Source organism: Homo sapiens, chromosome 5 (assembly GCF_000001405.40).
Source record: "Homo sapiens chromosome 5, GRCh38.p14 Primary Assembly".
NCBI lineage: Eukaryota > Metazoa > Chordata > Mammalia > Primates > Hominidae > Homo > Homo sapiens.
In genome coordinates, this window is record NC_000005.10 from 71,021,318 (window position 1) to 71,037,794 (window position 16,477).

Sequence of the window (16,477 nt, forward strand, 5' to 3'; positions counted from 1 at the left end):
ACTGTCTGTTACTCTCTTTTTACTCTTTTGGTATTCCCACTATTCAGGTGAGTAATTAATTGATCACTTATTTTTTTTTCATATATTCTTTTCCTACTTTCTAAGGGTCTCGCTCTGTCATCCAGGCTGGAGTGCAATGGCACAATCACAGCTCACTGCAGCCACCACCTCCTGGACTCAAGTGATCCTCCCACCTAGCCTCCCAAGTTTTGGGACTACAGACGTGTGCTACCATGCACAGCTGATTTTATATTTTATTTTGTGTAGAGATGGGGGTCTCACCTTGTTGCCCAGGCTGGTCTCAAACTCCCGGGCTCAAGTGATCTGCCGGCCTCAGCCTCCCAAAATGCTGGGATGACAGGTGTGAGCCACCGCACCCAGCTGTCCTCTCCTTTATATTCCGGTTCTCCAATCTAGTTTAAAATTTCAGCAATTATAATTTCCCACAGCTCTTTCTTTTCTCTGTGCCTTATTTTCATAGTGTCAATTTTTTTAACCAGTGCCATCTTCCTGAATCTGCTGTACGATACTAATGTTTAAGTTCCTGTTTCCTGAATTATGTTTCCTCAAAGGTTTTTACCACTTACCTTGGTGTTTACTTTTCATATTATCAACTTTCCTCAAATGTGTAGTGATCCTGGGTTTTCAACTCATGTTTAAAAATTAAGTCATTTAAAAACACATTGGTCAAACTAATCATTAAAAAATCAGGAGCCACAGGAGTGGGACTTGAACCTGAGCCTTTCCCTCTATGGAGAACAAGAATTACCCTAATGTCAGAATGTCAGAGAAAGATTTCAGAAAATGATTTCAAGTTACTTGGGGTTTTTTTTGTTTTGTTTTGTTTTTGGAGATGGGGTCTCACTTTGTCACCCAGACTGGAGTGCAGTGGCACAATCTCGGTTCACTGCAGCCTCTACCTCCCAGGCTCAAGTGATCCTCTCATCTCAGCCCCACAATAGCTGGGACTACAGGCATGCACCACCACACCTGGCTAATTTTTGTATTTCTAGTAGAGACAGGGTTTCGCCATGTTGCCCAAGCTGGTCTTGAACTCTTGACCTCAAGCCATTTGCCCACCTCAGTCCCCCAAAATGCTGGGATTACAGTCATGAGCCACTGGGCCTGGCCCGTTACTTGTAAAGACAAAGCTAGCAGCCGAAAACTTACTTGGAACGTTCCTTGGACATAAAATCACCATTTCTTAAAAGGATTCTTAGTTTTGGGGTGCCAGTGCCCACACTGGTTCTCTAGGTCAGCTAAGAGAAAGCAATGTGTTCAATTTTGGGGGAAGCAGGGAAGACTCCTGTAATTTTTTGCCCCAGGGTAAACACTTGTGTGTCAAATATTCTGATCATGAGGTAGAGAGAGCTGACTGTCCCGTGCACGGGCTTCCAATTAGTCCCTCAATTTTCAGCCCTTCATGTCACTCCAGCCCTCCTTCCTATCTGGCATCCTGTGTCCGCAGTTACTCCAAGCTTCTCCATAGGGCAGATAGTCTCTCATAGGAGACTCCATATTCAGGAAGCGGTTTCCTTGAGCTGCTTCCTTCCTGACTACTAGTCCATATAGTTTCTACTTTCCAAGAATGTGTTAAAATATTCTATGTGCTACTGGTCCCATTTCTGTTCTATTTTATTTTTTTTTACCTTTAAACTCTGTTGGACTTGACATTCTTGTTTTCTTAATTTTCCTGGGTTTATACTTTTAAGAATCAGTAATATTGTGTATTTATTACCAAAAACATGAACTAAAATTTACATAGAGCCTATCAAGGAAAAACCATTTCTCTACTCACATTTCTGACATCAAATATATGGGTTTTCCACCAACCAATTCTCCAATTCTCCACAGACAGCAGCTGAGTGTCTTACAATTTTACTCAATTCTGATGCTAATTAACCAGAGTTAGTGCAGACCCCACGGGTTAGGGGCTCAGCCCCCAAGACTGCCCCCTACTTCAGATGCCAGCCACAACTATTAGGACCTCAGGGTACCCACACTTCTGTCTGAGTTCACTACAAATCATGGGTATCTGCAACCCCCTCAGGTTCGATAATTTCTTTCTTGGGGGTTGGGGGAGTTTAGGAGCAGAGGTTTAATAGGCAAAAGAAAGAAAAACGAGAACAGATCTCTCCCTTGTGAGGGGCTTCCGAAAGGAAAATCCGGCCTGCGGTGGACTGCACCAGATTTTATAGGTAGGCCTGAGGAGGCGGCGTCTGATTTGCGCAGAGCCCACAGGTTGGTTTGAACAGGTGTGACGTTTACATAGCACGCGGGGAAGGTTGGGCGCCCCACCCTAATCTTACTATGACAAAGGGCAGAGTGACCTTGACATGCCATGTGCTTTCCAGAGCAAGGGCAGAGAGTGACGCTCACTGTGGTGGGAGAGGAGACCCTCTGTTCCTAGAAAATCACAACAGCATGCCCCTGTGCTATATCCCTGGTTACTACAGCAGTCTTTGTTCTTGCCTAACAAGATTACTTCCCTGAACTGTAAAACTCCCTCAGTACTGCATACAGAGAGAGGTTAGGAGACATGGTGGTCGTGGATAGGAAATGAGGGAATTATGATAGGAAAGTTGGAGGTCCTGTTGCCGACACCCCTTAGGGTGGCCGGAGGCTGGGGTCAGTCCAGAAGCCTTCGGATGGCACCAGGAGGTAGCCCCAGCCAGAAATCCTCAGTTGCTCCAGGACCTCTTCCAGCCCCACACGACAGCTTGGTCCTCCGTGAAAGGAAACTGGTTCAAACATGGCCAATATGCCCAGCAGCCCGTGGGTATTGGGGGGTTCTCCATGTTCTCCCCAGCAAGCCTGTCCCCCAAAACTTGTAAGGCTGGCAGCCACGCTCATAATTTTTAAATGGCTAATTGGTGAAGGCAGAGTTTTCTCATTCACAGAAGCAGAAGGGGGCCCAGTATTTGGTTTGGTTTGATTCTAAAATGGAGGCCAAGAGCCTCGAAATCAAAGGACAGAGTTGAGGTCCGCCCCTTTACTCACCTTTGCAATGAATGCACCTTGGAATCCCAGACGAAGTCCCCAATATGAAGTGGCATTGTTGTCTGGGGTCAATACCCGGGGTTCGTCGTCTCGCACCAACAAGGTTAAGGACACGATACACACGAAGAGTGGGTTTAGGAGCGGAGGTTTAACACGCAAAAGAAAAAGGAGAACAGCTCTCTCCCTTGTGAGAGAGAGCGGCTTCCGAAAGGAAAATCCCAGGTTCGATCGTTTCTTATAATGGCTCACAGAACTCAGAAACTTTACTTATGTTTACTGCTTTATTATAAAGGATACAGATGAACAGGCAGTCGAAGAGGTACACAGGGCAACGTCCAGAAGGGTCCCAGGTGAGCACAGGACCTTTTGTCTTCATGCAGTTTGAGGTGCATCGCCTTCTTGGTATGTGGTTGGGGTTAACCAAACCGAAAGCTCTCCAAACCTGTGGTTTATTTTTTAATGGAGGTGCCATCACTTAGGCATGATTGGTTAAATCACTGGCAACTGGTGGTTAATCAATCTCCAGCCCTTTTACCCTCTCTGGAGGTCGAGGCGTGGGGCTGCAAATCCCAGACCTCTAATCATGCCTTAGTCTTTCAGGGGATAGCCCCCATCCTGAAGTTGTCTAAAGGATCCCAGCCACCAGTTAGCTCACTGTCATACACTCTTATCACTTGGAGATTCCAAAGGTCTTAGAAGCTCTTGTGTCAGGAACCAAGACCAAGTATTCTAATAAAAGATGTTTCTATCACCCCTGTCACTCAGGAAATTACAAGGGTTTCTGGAGATCTGTGCCAGGAACTGGATGAAGATCAAATATATATATTTATTATATCACAATATTGCAGCCTACTACTTGCCAGGCACAATTCTAAGCACTTTACATGTGTCCACTTAATTCCTTTAACAGTCCAAAATCAGCTATTGCTATATCATCTCCATATTACAGATAAGGAAACTCAAGCACATAGGGGTTAAGGTTAACCAGTGATCTGGCTAGTCTGTACTTTTACCTGATGTTGTGCTGCCATACAGACTAGATATATTTTTTTTTTTTTTAGACTGAGTCTTGCTCTGTTGCCAGGCTGGAGTGCAATGGCGTGATCTCAGCTCACTGCAAACCCAGCCTCCTGGGTTCAAGTGATTCTCCTTCCTCAGCCTCCCCAGCAGCTGGGACTACAGGCACATGCCACCTCGCCCAGCTAATTTTTGTATTTTCAGTAGAGACAGGGTTTCACCATGTTGACCAGGATGGTCTCGATCTCTTGACCTCGTGATCCGCCCACTTCGGCCTCACCAAATGCTGGGATTACAGGCGTGAACCACAGCACCCAGCCAAGACTAGATTTTTAAGAAAAGGCAATCCAGATATCCTAGAAGGTTCATTTCCTCTTTTTGGTGGTTTAGCAAATTTCTTAGTAAGGCTTCTAGCTGTTATAGCAGCATTAGTATGTGAACCACAGTTAAGCTCTAGTCCAACAAGGCCATTTCTTCAGCAGAGAAGCAATTGTTAAATAATCGACCAAGTATTCATTGGCTCCCTCTTTTTGTATCAACATACACAATTGTTACAGTGCCAGTGTTTATTGGAACCACTTTCCATGGTGCATCCAGCTGTGCCTAGACCAGCAGGTCTTTTTCCAGAAGTCCAGATGGCAGGGGAACCTCTTCACGTTGTTGACCCTTCTCCCTGTAATTTTTTCCCCAATAAACCTTTTCATTATGTTGCTGTATTTATACCCAAATACACATTACATTTATTTTAGTACCTTGTACATTTTGTTGCCCTTATAAATTGGAGGGGTTTTAAAAACTATTTTTTATTCTCAATATTCATTGATGATGTATAGGACTCCTTCTGGACTGTTTAATATATGACTGTAAATCCCCCTGAATTTTCTTAGATGTTTGTAGTATCTGATTATGACAGTTTTGTCTTTTATTTATTGCCTTGTTGCATTGATTAGGTCCTCTAATATAATGTTGCTTAATAATGAAGATAGATATCCTATCTTATTCTTGACTTTTGGTATAAATTCTTCTAAAGTTTGAGCATTAAACATGATGTTTGATGTAGATTCTTAGTGGATACTCTTTAGCAGTTAAAGTAACTTCTCTTTTACTTCCAGTGACACTACTACCTAATTTGAAGAGAGGATTTGGAATTTTGAGTTTCAAAATAATACTGTTTTCAAACACTTTTTTAGCTAAAAAGTACACACACATAGGGCAGTGTTTTAAAGTTTAGCTACTTCAGGGCATATGTGTATACTCACTGAAGTTTTAATTTAATGGCTTATTGGTCATTCATGTATCTTCTTTGGTAAGGTAATTAAATATTTTTCTTTTTTTTTAAAAGACAGAGTCTCGCTCTGCCGCCCAGGCTGGAGTGCAGTGGCACAATCTCAGCTCACTGCAACCTCCGCCTCCTGGGTTCAAGCGATTCCCCTGCCTCAGCCTCCCGAGTAGCTGGGATTACAGGCGCCCACCACCACGCCCAGCTAATTTTTGTATTTTTAGTAGAGACAGGGTTTCACCATGTTAGCCAGGCTGGTCTCGAACCCCTGACCTCGTGATCCACCCACCTCGGCCTCCCAAAGTGCTGAGATTACAGGTGTGAGCCACTGCACCTGGCCGTAATTAAATTCTTGACCCATTTAAAAATTGCGTGTTTTCCTTTTTATTACTAAATTATAAGGATTCTTTATATATTTTGCATACTAGTCCTTTGTTAGATATTTACATTGCACATATATTCTCTCAGTCTGTTAACCATCTTTTCATTTTCTTAATGGTGTCTTTCAAAAAGAAGTTTTTAATTTTGATGAAGTCCAATTTTAATTTTTGTTATGATTGATAGTTTTTGTGTCCTAAGAAATCACTATCTACTCTAAAGTTGTGAAGATATTCTAAAAGTTAACATTTGTATTGTACAATATCAACTGTTAGTTGAGGATATGGAGCAACTGGAAGCTCATACATTAGTTGTGGGAATGTAAAATGGTATTAATACAATGTCTTTGGAAAAACAGTTCACTGGTGTCATGGAAAGCTAAGTATACTCTTGCCATACAATCTAGCAATTCCATTCCTACATATTTACCCAAGAAAAATGAAAACACATGAACACACAAAGATTTATACAATAATGTTCATAGCAACTTTATTCATAATAATAACCAAAAAATCAGAAACAACCCAATGTCCATTGGGGATAAACACATGGATAAACAACGTATCCATAAATGAAGTACAGGTGGTAAAAAGAAGCAAAGTATTGATATATGCAACAAATGAATAAGCTCAAAAACATTATGCTAAGCAAAAGAAGCCATACATATCATTTAATTTTTAAAAATTGTATATAACAGACAAATCTCATCTACAGTGACAGAAAACAGATCAATGTCACCGGCCGCTGGAACTCCTAGGGAGTACTCACTGCAAAGGAGCCCTTCTGGAGTGATGAAGATGTTCTCTCTCGATTGTGGTGGTCATGGCATGGGTACAGAACACTTGTCAAAAGGCATGGAATTACTCAAGATGGGAGCATTTTTACTGTATGTTAATTATAACTCAATAAAATTGATTTTTTAAAATTCTAAGTACATATATAAATACATTAATGTTTACAGAGCATTAAGAGAAGTGAAAAAGGTCGGGCGCAGTGGCTCACGCCTGTAATCCCAGCACTTTGGGAGGCCGAGGCGGGCGGATCACGAGGTCAGGAGATCGAGACCATCCTGGCTAACACGGTGAAACCCCGTCTCTACTAAAAATACAAAAAAACAATTAGCTGGGCGTGGTGGCGGGCACCTGTAGTCCCAGCTACTCGGGAGGCTGAGGCAGGAGAATGGTGTGAACCCGGGAGGCAGAAATTGCAGTGTGAGCCGAGATCGCGCCACTGCACTCCAGCCTGGGTGACAGAGCGAGACTCTGTCTCAAAAAAAAAAAAAAAACAAAACAAAAGAGAGAAGTGAAAAAATAATTCCATGTTTGAGATTTGTTTTGTTTGTTTGTTTGTTTGTTTTCAGACGGAGTCTTGCTCTGTCACCCAGGCTGGAGTGCAGTGGCGTGATCTCGGCTCACTGAAATTTCTGCCTCCCGGGTTCACGCCATTCTCCTGCCTCAGCCTCCCGAGTAGCTGGGACTACAGGCGCCCGCCACCACGCCCGGCTAATTTTTTGTATTTTTAGTAGAGACGGGGTTTCACCGTGTTAGCCAGGATGGTCTCGATCTCCTGACCTCGTGATCCGCCCGCCTCGGCCTCCCAAAGTGCTGGGATTACAGGCGTGAGCCACCGCGCCCGGCCGAGATTTGTTTGTTTATAAAGTTACCTGAATTTGTTTTTTAAGTTTAGTAGAATTCTTTTATCAGGACCTGTTTTTAAGTTACCTATGTACCTCTCTAAATGGGATTACAGGCAGTAGCTCTCACACTTCAACATTTATGGTAACCACCTGGAGGATTTGTTAAAGCGGACTGCTAGACCCATCCTCAGAGTTTCTGATTCAACAGGCCTGTGATGGGGCTCAAGAATTTGCTTTTTTTTTTTTTTTTGAGATGGAGTCTCATTCTGTTGCCCAGGCTGCAGTGCAGTGGTGCGATCTTGGCTCACAGCAACCTCCGCCTCCTGGATTCAAGTGATTCTCCTGCCTCATCCTCCTGAGTAGCTGGGATTACAGATGCCCTTCACCACGGCCGGCTAATTTTTGTATTTTTAGTAGAGACAGGGTTTCACCATGTTGGTCAAGCTGGTCTCGAACTCCTGACCTCGTGATCTACCCACCTCAGCCTCCCAAAGTGCTGGGATTACAGGCATGAGGCACCGCGCCTGGCCAAGAATTTGCATTTCTAATGACTTCTTGGGTGATGCTAATGCTACTTACTGGTCCAAACACTACATTTAGAGTCACTGACTGTAGAGATCCTTAAAAGATCCCTATTCCTCCAAAGAGTCAATTCTTAATGCTTAAAACTTGAACTAGGCTGGGCACAGTGGCTAACGTCTGTAATCCCAGCACTTTGGGAGGCCTAGGAGAGAGGATCATTTGAGGCCAGGAGTTGACACGAGCCTGGACAGCACAGCAAGAGTCCATCTCTTAAAAAAAAAATTCAGCCAGGCATGGTGGTGCACACCTGTAGTCCTAGCTACTTGAGAAGCTGAATTGGGAGGATCACTTGTGCCCAGGAATTCAAGGCTGCAGTGAGTTGATTGTGCCATTGCACTCCAGCCTGAGAGACAGAGTGATACTGCCTCAAAAAAACAAAAATTTAAATTTAAAACAGAAACACAAAAAACCTAAATTATCCCCTAAGGCTGGCCACGGTGGCTCACACCTGTAATCCCAGCACTTTGGAAGGCCAAGGTGGGTGGATCACTTGAGGTCAGGAGTTCCGAGACCAGCCTGGTCAACATGGTGTGAAACCACGTCACTACTAAAAATACAAAAATCAGCCAGGCATGGTGGCACATGACTGTAGTCCCAGCTACTCGGGAGGCTGAGGCAGGAGAATCACTTGAACCCGGGAGGCAGATGTTGCAGTGATCCAAGATCATGCCACTGCACTCTAGCCTGGTTGACAGAGCAAGACTCTGTCACAAAAACAAAAACAAAAAGTAAATAAATTATCCCCTAAGAGGAGTATATCCCAGGAAAGTGTAACACCTGAAACTTAAAAGATTATCTGCCCTGATGATAAACGATAGAAAAGAGACAGGCCAGGCCAAAGTTTGTCAACTGGTGGACTGAAGATAAGTTTTATTTAGCCTCTGTGTTTTTCTAAATTAGAGGCTAACATCTCAAACTTGGGAGAATTCACTTTAAAAATCCAGTTTTTACGGCTGGGCATGGTGGCTCACGCTTGTGATTCCAATACTTTGGAAGACTGAGGTGTGCAGATTACTTAAGCTCAGGAGTTCAAGACCAGCCTAGGCAACATAGGAAGACACTGTCTCTACAAAAAAAAACTTTTTAAAAATTAGCCAGGCACAATGGCACACACCTGTGGTCCCAGCTACTAGGGAGTCTGAAGTGGGACCATCACTTGAGTCTGGAAGGTCGAGACTGCAGTGAGCCATGATTGCACCAATGCACTCCAGCCTGGGGAACAGAGCAAGGCTTTGTCTCAAAAAAAAAAAAAAAAAAAAAAAAAAAAAAAAAAAAAAATCCAGATTTAGTTTCTCTTTAAGTATCATTCCCAGAAGAAAAAAATAGGCTGGGGCCAAATAATGGTTACCTCACTTTATTTTTACATTTTTTTGAATTAAGTAACAAAATTTAAAAAATACAAAAGGATGTACAGTGAAAAGTACATCTCCCTTCTATCCCTGATCCCCAGACTCTCAGAGGCTGCCTCCTTTAGATGGGGCGGGTGCTTTCCAGATGTCCCCACTCTGCATCAACTGGCCCTCTTTCACTTATCTGCATTGTCTGCCTGACCCCTTTAGACATCTGAGCTGCCTCCCAACCCATTTTACCACGCCTCTCCTGCATCCCCTTAACACTTGGCATGTCTGTCGTTAGCACTTTCACACAAGCTTCTTTACAAGGCTGTGTCTTTTTAGATGGGGAGATTCACAGATGCATGAGGTTAGGTTTACATCTTCTTTTGACTATCTACATCCCTGATAACTAGGATGGTGTCAGACTTATGGCAGATGTACAAGTTTGTTGAGTGAATTAATAAATTAATGAATGGGCAAATTGTGTATTGTTTCCAGGGTCCTGAGGTGTGACGCAAATAGCAATTCAGTCAGGTGAAATCAATAATTTAGATCCCATCAGGATCCCAGCCGAGTCCCCAGTCCATCTTGTAACACTTCTCCCCAGAACATACTTAAATTACCTGGAAATAATGAATCCTCTGCCCTTACAGAACTGGATCCAAAGCAGGCACTAGGGCACTCTAAGACTACTTCTCAGAAGTGTGACAACCTCCTGTACCCTTTTTCTCCTTACTACAGGGCCCAAGGACTGAAACTTCTTACCTTTTCTCCTAAACTCTGCCACCCACTAATGGCCTCAGGACTGGGATTCCACTAACCCACTCCCCAAGGGCTGATTGCACCCTTTCTTTGTCACCACTCATGAAATCATTTCATGCTATGAATTGGCCAACCGTTCTAGAGATATAGCTGAACACAAACATGACCAGAAACATGAGGAAGTTATAAAGTATTGAGAAATCCTTCTAGAAGTAGATGCAATGCCACACCACTGAGCACGAGATCTGGCTTCCTGAGCAGTTACCAAAGGACGAGATGACACAGCCCTGTGGGCAAACTAGGATCAACGGGAAATGGAAGAACTTAGGAAACTAAGTTACTTCTCCTTCCTCCCTTCAATGGACTGCTCAGAGGGGCAGTTTCTCCTTATAAACCTTCTGGAGAAGCCCCACACTCTAAGTGAACACACTTGCTGGAAGGCTCCTGTATCTCGTCACAGCTTGTCATGAAGCCTGGTCACTGCAGTAACACAATGCATCACGTTTTTCCTTGCTTTGCTTTCCCTTTTCTTCCACACTCTCACCCCCCTAGATCTGTCCCTCCCTAATAAAGTAACAATACTTTCATCTTTGCCTCAGGTTCTACTTCCTAGGGTACCTAAGTTAAGAAATTCTTGTTGTTGGCCAGGCGTGGTGGCTCACGCCTGTAATCCCAGCACTTTGGGAGGCCAAGGCAGATGGATCATGAGGTCAGGAGATCAAGACCATCCTGGCTAACACAGTGAAACCCCGTCTCCAGTAAAAACACAAAAAATTAGCCAGGCGTGGTGGCAGGCACCTGCAGTCCCAGCTACTCGGGAGGCTGAGGCAGGAGAATGGCATGAACCCGGGAGGTGGAGCTTGCAGTGAGCTGAGATCGCGCCACTGCACTCCAGCCTGGGCGACAGAGGGAGACTCTGTCTCAAAAAAAAAAAAAAATTCTTCTTGTTGTAATTTATTGTTGTTGCAATTTTTGTTTGTTGTAATTTCTAGGGTAACCACTGAAAGAATAAAAACAAAGTATACAATTTTCAAACTAGTGACGAAAAACACAGAATGGTAGAAAGTAAGTAATCAAAAAGAAGGCAAGAAGGAAAAGATCGTATCAAATATGTAGTTAAAAAAATTTAAAAAAACGAAAGATGGAATTGTTGGAACCAATAACACAAAGATAATAGACTTAAACCCAAATATATCAGTGGTAATCTTTTAATAAATATTTATATTTATTATATATATTTATATATATTTTAATATATAATATATTAAAATATATTATATATAAATATATATAAATATATAAATATAAATATAAATAATATATTTATAAATATAATATTTATAATAAATAAAATATATCAGTGGTAATCTTTTAATAAGTAAATATATTTATTAAATATAAAAGGTACACAGTAAATATAAATGAACTAAATGCTTTAGTTAAAAGACAATAAAAATTATGAAATAAAAATGTATACACTTGAAAGTATTTAAAATAAATCTAATTTTCATAATGAATTTTAAGCATTAAGGAGTTTTGTAACTGAATAGTGGAACTCAGAAAGACATCCTATTCAGAAGGATCTCTCATGTTAATAGTTTCCTTCACTATTGTAGTATACTGTAGAGTTTCAAGAAAAAAATTAAAGGCCAAAACTGTCTTACATTACCATTGCTGTTTCTGCAATCTTCAACAAACCAAAATTTTCTCTGTAATTGTGAAAAAAGAACTCCTCCTTAAGCATAACTAAAATTTTGCCTTAACCTTATCAAATACCCAAAACTGTAGAAAGAGATAAAGCTGTTAATAGAGACATGGGTATCCCTTTTTATCAGGTCAGGAGGGTAAGTCTCTAATAGAGAGTTCTAGTAACTTCTCAAAAGGTAACTAATGAAGGCCTTCCTTCTAAACCAGATAGGGGGAGATAGAATGCTCTGAGTATTAAAGGCATCTCTTGCAAGCCACTGATAACTTTGTTGACAGAGCACACAGAAGAAAATAGCAGTTACCAGGTTACCTATAGGTGAAATTTGTTTCCACGTAAAGAACCACTGGGTCCAGGCTCATGGAGTATGACTCCTGAGAGAAACTCCTGTTACTCTGATCAGTGTGTGTGTGTGTGTGTGTGTGTGTGTGTGTGTGTGTATTAAAAATGAATATTCCTGGGCTCCCAATAAACTCTCCAGGGTGGGATTACGTTGTCTTTACTGATAATGTTCTTAACTAAAAATTCTTAGTTATAAAATCACAAATTTCGGCCGGGCACGGTGGCGGAGGTGGGTGGATGACCTGAGGTCAGGAGTTGGAGATCAGCCTGATCAACAAGGTGAAACCCCGTCTCTACCAAAAATGCAAAAATTAGCCAGGCGTGGTGGCAGGCGCCTGTAGTCCCAGCTACTCAGGAGGCTGAGACAGGAGAATGGCTTGAGCCTGGGAGGCGGAGGTTGCAGTGAGCCAACAGCAGGCCACTGCACTCCAGCCTGGGCGATGGAGCAAGACTCCATCTCAAAAAAAAAAAAAAAAAAAATCACAAATTTCATAGTGAAACTCAAGTTAGAGTACCTGAAGTTTATATACATAAAATAGACATACCTTTGCTATGAAAGCCTGATTTACTCTTTTTTTTTTTTTCTTGAGACAGAGTCTAGCTCTGTCGCCCAGGCTGGAGGGCAGTGGAGCGATCTCGGCTCACTGCAAGCTCCGCCTCCTGGGTTCACACCATTCTCCTGCCCCAGCCTTCCGAATAGCTGGGACTACAGGCGCCCGCCACCAGGCCCAGCTAATTTTTTGTATGTTTAGTAGAGACGGGGTTTCACCGTGTTAGCCAGGATGGTCTCGATCTCCTGACCTCGTGATCTGCCCGCCTCGGCCTCCCAAAGTGCTAGGATTACAGGCGTGAGCCACCGCGCCCGGCTGAAAGCCTGATTTACTCTTAACTGGATATAACCAGAAAGAGTTCTGCGCACAATGATATATCTGCATTGAATCTAAAACACAGACTTCATCATACATTCTCACCTAAATTTCTCTGATGACCCAGAGTAAGGCAAAAGGTTTAGCATATGAGAGTGAAAGGATTTGAATCTCACTTTCTGTCAAACTTTAGAGCTCTGTTAACCATGATTAGTATCAACTATGATTTTAGGCAACTTTGCTTATAGTAAAAATAACTCGTTAATTGTTACGTATCTGGATTGGGATGCACTATAAATAAATGGAGTCTTCAAGCTTTAGGCTTTCCTGAGTGTAGTGACTCTTGAAATTGACACATCCCTTGTGGATACCTGGAAGCTGTGTTTATGGAATTGTTAAGAGATATTGGTTCCTTGATGCCTGTGGAGGATCTTATCTCCTTGCACCCAAATTGTACTAGTGGACTGCTACAAGGACTTCCACTGCTAATGAGGACTGCTTGATGCTGTGCTGGCAGGCTGTTGTTTCTGTTTAATATCCTTCTGAGTAAGCGGGTACCAAGTATGGCCATGGCAGTCTTGTGAGTTTGAATGTTTAATGTAAAGTGACTTCTGTTGGTCATAGCCACAAATAATTTCAGATGTACTAACTTGATAAACATATTCCAGATGTTTGGTTAAACCTAAAAAGACCTCTCTGGTGGATGTAGCAGTACATCATTTCATATGTATTAATTTCATAACTTTTTTTTTTTTTGAGATGGAGTCTCACTCTAGGGTGGAGTGCAGTGGCACAATCTTGGCTCACTGCAACCTCCGCCTCCTGGGTTCAAGCGATTCTCCTGCCTCAGCCTCCCAAGTAGCTGGGACTCCAGGCGTGAACCACCATGCCCGGCTAATTATTTTTTGTATTTTTAGTAGTGACGGGGTTTCACCATGTTGGCCAGGCTGGTCTCGAACTCCTGACCTCAGGTGATCTGCCCACCTCAGCCTCCCAAAGTGTTGGGATTACAGGTGTGAGCCACAGCGCCCAGCCTAATTTCATAAGTATTGATAAATTTTCATCTTACACTGAATTTACATTCAGACTTAACTTTCTTCTTACACTAAATTAATGAATTAACATAAATCATAAAGATTCTATATTTAATTATAAAAACATAAAATTATCACATCAATTTAATTCTTATAAGTTTATACATACTGCATAATGACTTTGAAAACAGTATAACTCAAAATAATAGAAAACAAAATTAATTGAATGAAGTACTACTGAATTTCAGGTATTTCTGTGACAACACAAATTTAAAATTTAATAAAATATTACCTTTTCTTAGCAAAAAGTTTCTTAAGTCAGATTATCCTTTCATGTTTTAAATGAAGCTTCTTCTAAAGAAGTCCTTTTATTCACAGTTGCAAATTTCTTTTTAACACATACAATGTATACTACATGCTGGAATCAAACACCTGAAGGAGCTGGAATCTTATGAATACAGCCAGGGCAACAGTGTAGAGAATCATGAACAAAAACATCACAGTCCACACAGAAAACATTTTGGCACACAGCACAAACATAAACCTGTAGTGAAAAGAAGAAAAGTGATAAACTAGTTTCCAAAAGTTAATTACAGCACAGCTAGATGACATTCAAGGTGTGCTTTGCTCTTTTATATCTCTACCAATTTTTTCCCACTACCTACTTTATTACTTCCAATGTACTCTATATTCTCAAATCTAAGGCAATTAATTTTTTCCCCAAAACTATCCCTTAGAAATGAGGGAATGGTTTTGTTTTTGAGTCTTTAAAGTCTATTCTATTACAGTTCGCTCTCAATCATTTCATTCTTAGGTTTAGGAAAGACATATGAGCTTCAAACCAGCGCTACTTTTGAATGCTTAGCAAGACCACCTGATTGATTCAATTAAAAAGAGAAGCATAAAAATTTAACATCGATTTAATTATTCTTAGGGAATGACCTCACAATTGCAAACATATTTCCCTTTCAAGTAAACCTTTAAAAAAATATGTCAAATGACACAGATAAGACAAGCAGAAAGGAAAAAACTACATTTGTTCTTTCAGCATTACATATACGAGTACTTGCGCCTTGGGATAAAATTTCCAGGGCAGCTTCACACACAGATTCAAAAATCACTAAATCTCAGAAGTATTTGGCTTTGAATAATAAAAAAAAAAAGAATGAATAAATAAATTTCAAACAACACAGACAATGACCTATTCTTAAAAACTCAAATGAGGCCGGGTGTAGTGACTCACACCTGTAATCCCAGCACTTTGGGAGGCCAAGGCGGGTGGATTGCTTGAGCCCAGGAGTTCAAGACCAGCTGGTCAACATGGTGAAACCCAGTCTCTACTAAAAATACAAAAATTGGCTGGGCATGGTGGTGCACGCCTATAATCCCAGCTGCTTGGGAGGCTAGGCATGAGAATCACTTGAACTTGGGAGGCAGAGGTTGCAGTGAGCCAAGATTGCATCACTGCACTACAACCTGGGTGACAGAGCAAGAGTCTGTCTCAGAAAATAAAACCAAAAAACTGTCAAATGATTCAAAAAGTGGTTCCAGTTAAGAGTAAACTACTGATGTCAAAGAGGTATATAAAACTTAATAAAATTACTTTATAAATTGTGACAGTGGAAGAGCAATACTTCTAATTATTATTTTATATAATATATATAGTTTTAAATATGAACATGTAACTAAATTAAAAATTAAAGCTAGACAGTGATCCATATTATTTACATCTATACAAATTTATTTATTAAAGTTGGCCCTCTTCAAAATTTAAAAAAGTATTTTCTCATTGGCATAATGGAAGAATCACCTATTATCTGTGGCCACCTTAAACAATTTCAATGTGTTATCACACAGCTTAAAGTATAATATGAAGAAAATATTTTAAATACTTTCAGACTAAATGCAGTTTAGCTTGAAAGCTAAAGACAAATTACATGTTTTACAAGGGTGTACCAAAGTAGACAAAACAATCAAAGAATTTAAAAAAAGAGGAAAAAAATTAAAAAATTTTTAATAAAAAGTTTTAAAAAGATGAATTACAAAATACTTTATAGCAAAAATTAGAATGCAGAATAACAAAACTACTATTTAAACTATTTTGTTCCTATTTTACCTTCACCTATTGTCATTATCTTTACAAGAAATAAACTGATATGAGCCTGGTCTTTAACAACCTGTTGAAAACTTATAGTACCATTGATTTCAATATTTCTTGTACATTACTTAATATTTAGAAAGCCAAAGAACTTACATGTTGGTCTTTCAATTCCCCCTGACATCCATAACAAAATCTGAAAAAAAAGTTTAACAATGTTTTTTCTTAGAATTTACTCATTAAAATAGTTCAACAAAATCTCACTAACTAGAATCCTTTAATTAATATGTACTTGTCTTTACACATGACTTTCAGGAAAAAGAGTTAAGAATACCAATAGGCCAGGCACAGTGGCTCACGCCTATAATCCCAGCACTTTGGGAGGCCGAGGCGGGTGGATCACCTCAGGTCAGGAGTTCGTGACCAGCCTGGCCAACATGGCGA

The 16,477-nt window shown here is 41.0% G+C and overlaps 2 protein-coding genes across 27 annotated transcripts in view, besides 13 other annotated features; both read right to left on the reverse strand.

The window, feature by feature from the left end:
* NAIP (NLR family apoptosis inhibitory protein) overlaps positions 1–4,022 on the reverse strand; it is a 57,174-nt gene extending 53,152 nt beyond the window's left edge. For 2 of the 3 annotated variants that reach the window (NM_022892.2, NM_004536.3), the window contains exons 1-2: positions 3,298–4,022; positions 3,001–3,089 (exon numbers count right to left, since the gene is read on the reverse strand). In NM_022892.2, coding sequence (NP_075043.1) covers positions 3,001–3,056 — 56 coding nt within the window. In that variant the 5' untranslated portion in view covers positions 3,057–3,089; positions 3,298–4,022. Of the gene's footprint in view, positions 1–282; positions 414–1,798; positions 2,229–3,000; positions 3,090–3,297 lie in introns of those variants that run through there. The other variant, NM_001346870.2, reaches the window with a different exon arrangement.
* Positions 1–5,615: part of a biological region, named in NCBI's record as "NAIP promoter region", that runs on past the window's edge. NCBI's record gives its function as "regulatory_interactions: NAIP".
* Positions 1,776–4,381: a promoter, noted in NCBI's record as "ERV-P promoter". NCBI's record gives the evidence for it as "EXISTENCE:reporter gene assay evidence [ECO:0000049][PMID:19488400]".
* Positions 1,786–2,062: a mobile genetic element.
* Positions 2,078–2,312: a mobile genetic element.
* Positions 2,313–3,043: a mobile genetic element.
* Positions 3,046–3,208: a mobile genetic element.
* Positions 3,218–3,839: a mobile genetic element.
* Positions 3,464–3,502: a protein binding site, noted in NCBI's record as "PAX2 site". NCBI's record gives the evidence for it as "EXISTENCE:protein binding evidence [ECO:0000024][PMID:16735463]".
* Positions 3,572–3,785: a transcriptional cis regulatory region, noted in NCBI's record as "+8/+226". NCBI's record gives its function as "negative regulation of promoter activity" and the evidence as "EXISTENCE:reporter gene assay evidence [ECO:0000049][PMID:11955612]".
* Positions 3,786–3,852: a protein binding site, noted in NCBI's record as "BRN2 site; probe 67". NCBI's record gives the evidence for it as "EXISTENCE:protein binding evidence [ECO:0000024][PMID:11955612]".
* Positions 3,786–4,150: a promoter, noted in NCBI's record as "-338/+7 promoter; SmaI/BglII fragment". NCBI's record gives the evidence for it as "EXISTENCE:reporter gene assay evidence [ECO:0000049][PMID:11955612]".
* Positions 4,060–4,337: a mobile genetic element.
* Positions 4,151–5,615: a transcriptional cis regulatory region, noted in NCBI's record as "-1791/-339". NCBI's record gives its function as "negative regulation of promoter activity" and the evidence as "EXISTENCE:reporter gene assay evidence [ECO:0000049][PMID:11955612]".
* GTF2H2 (general transcription factor IIH subunit 2) overlaps positions 14,030–16,477 on the reverse strand; it is a 32,330-nt gene continuing 29,882 nt past the window's right edge. For 20 of the 24 annotated variants that reach the window (NM_001395395.1, NM_001395393.1, NM_001395387.1 and 17 more), the window contains 2 exons: positions 16,190–16,229; positions 14,030–14,479 (listed from right to left, as the gene is read on the reverse strand). In NM_001395395.1, coding sequence (NP_001382324.1) covers positions 14,360–14,479; positions 16,190–16,229 — 160 coding nt within the window. In that variant the 3' untranslated portion in view covers positions 14,030–14,359. The remainder of the gene's footprint in view (positions 14,480–16,189; positions 16,230–16,477) is intronic. The other 4 variants (XM_047417131.1, NM_001364570.2, NM_001364572.3 and 1 more) reach the window with 1 other exon arrangement.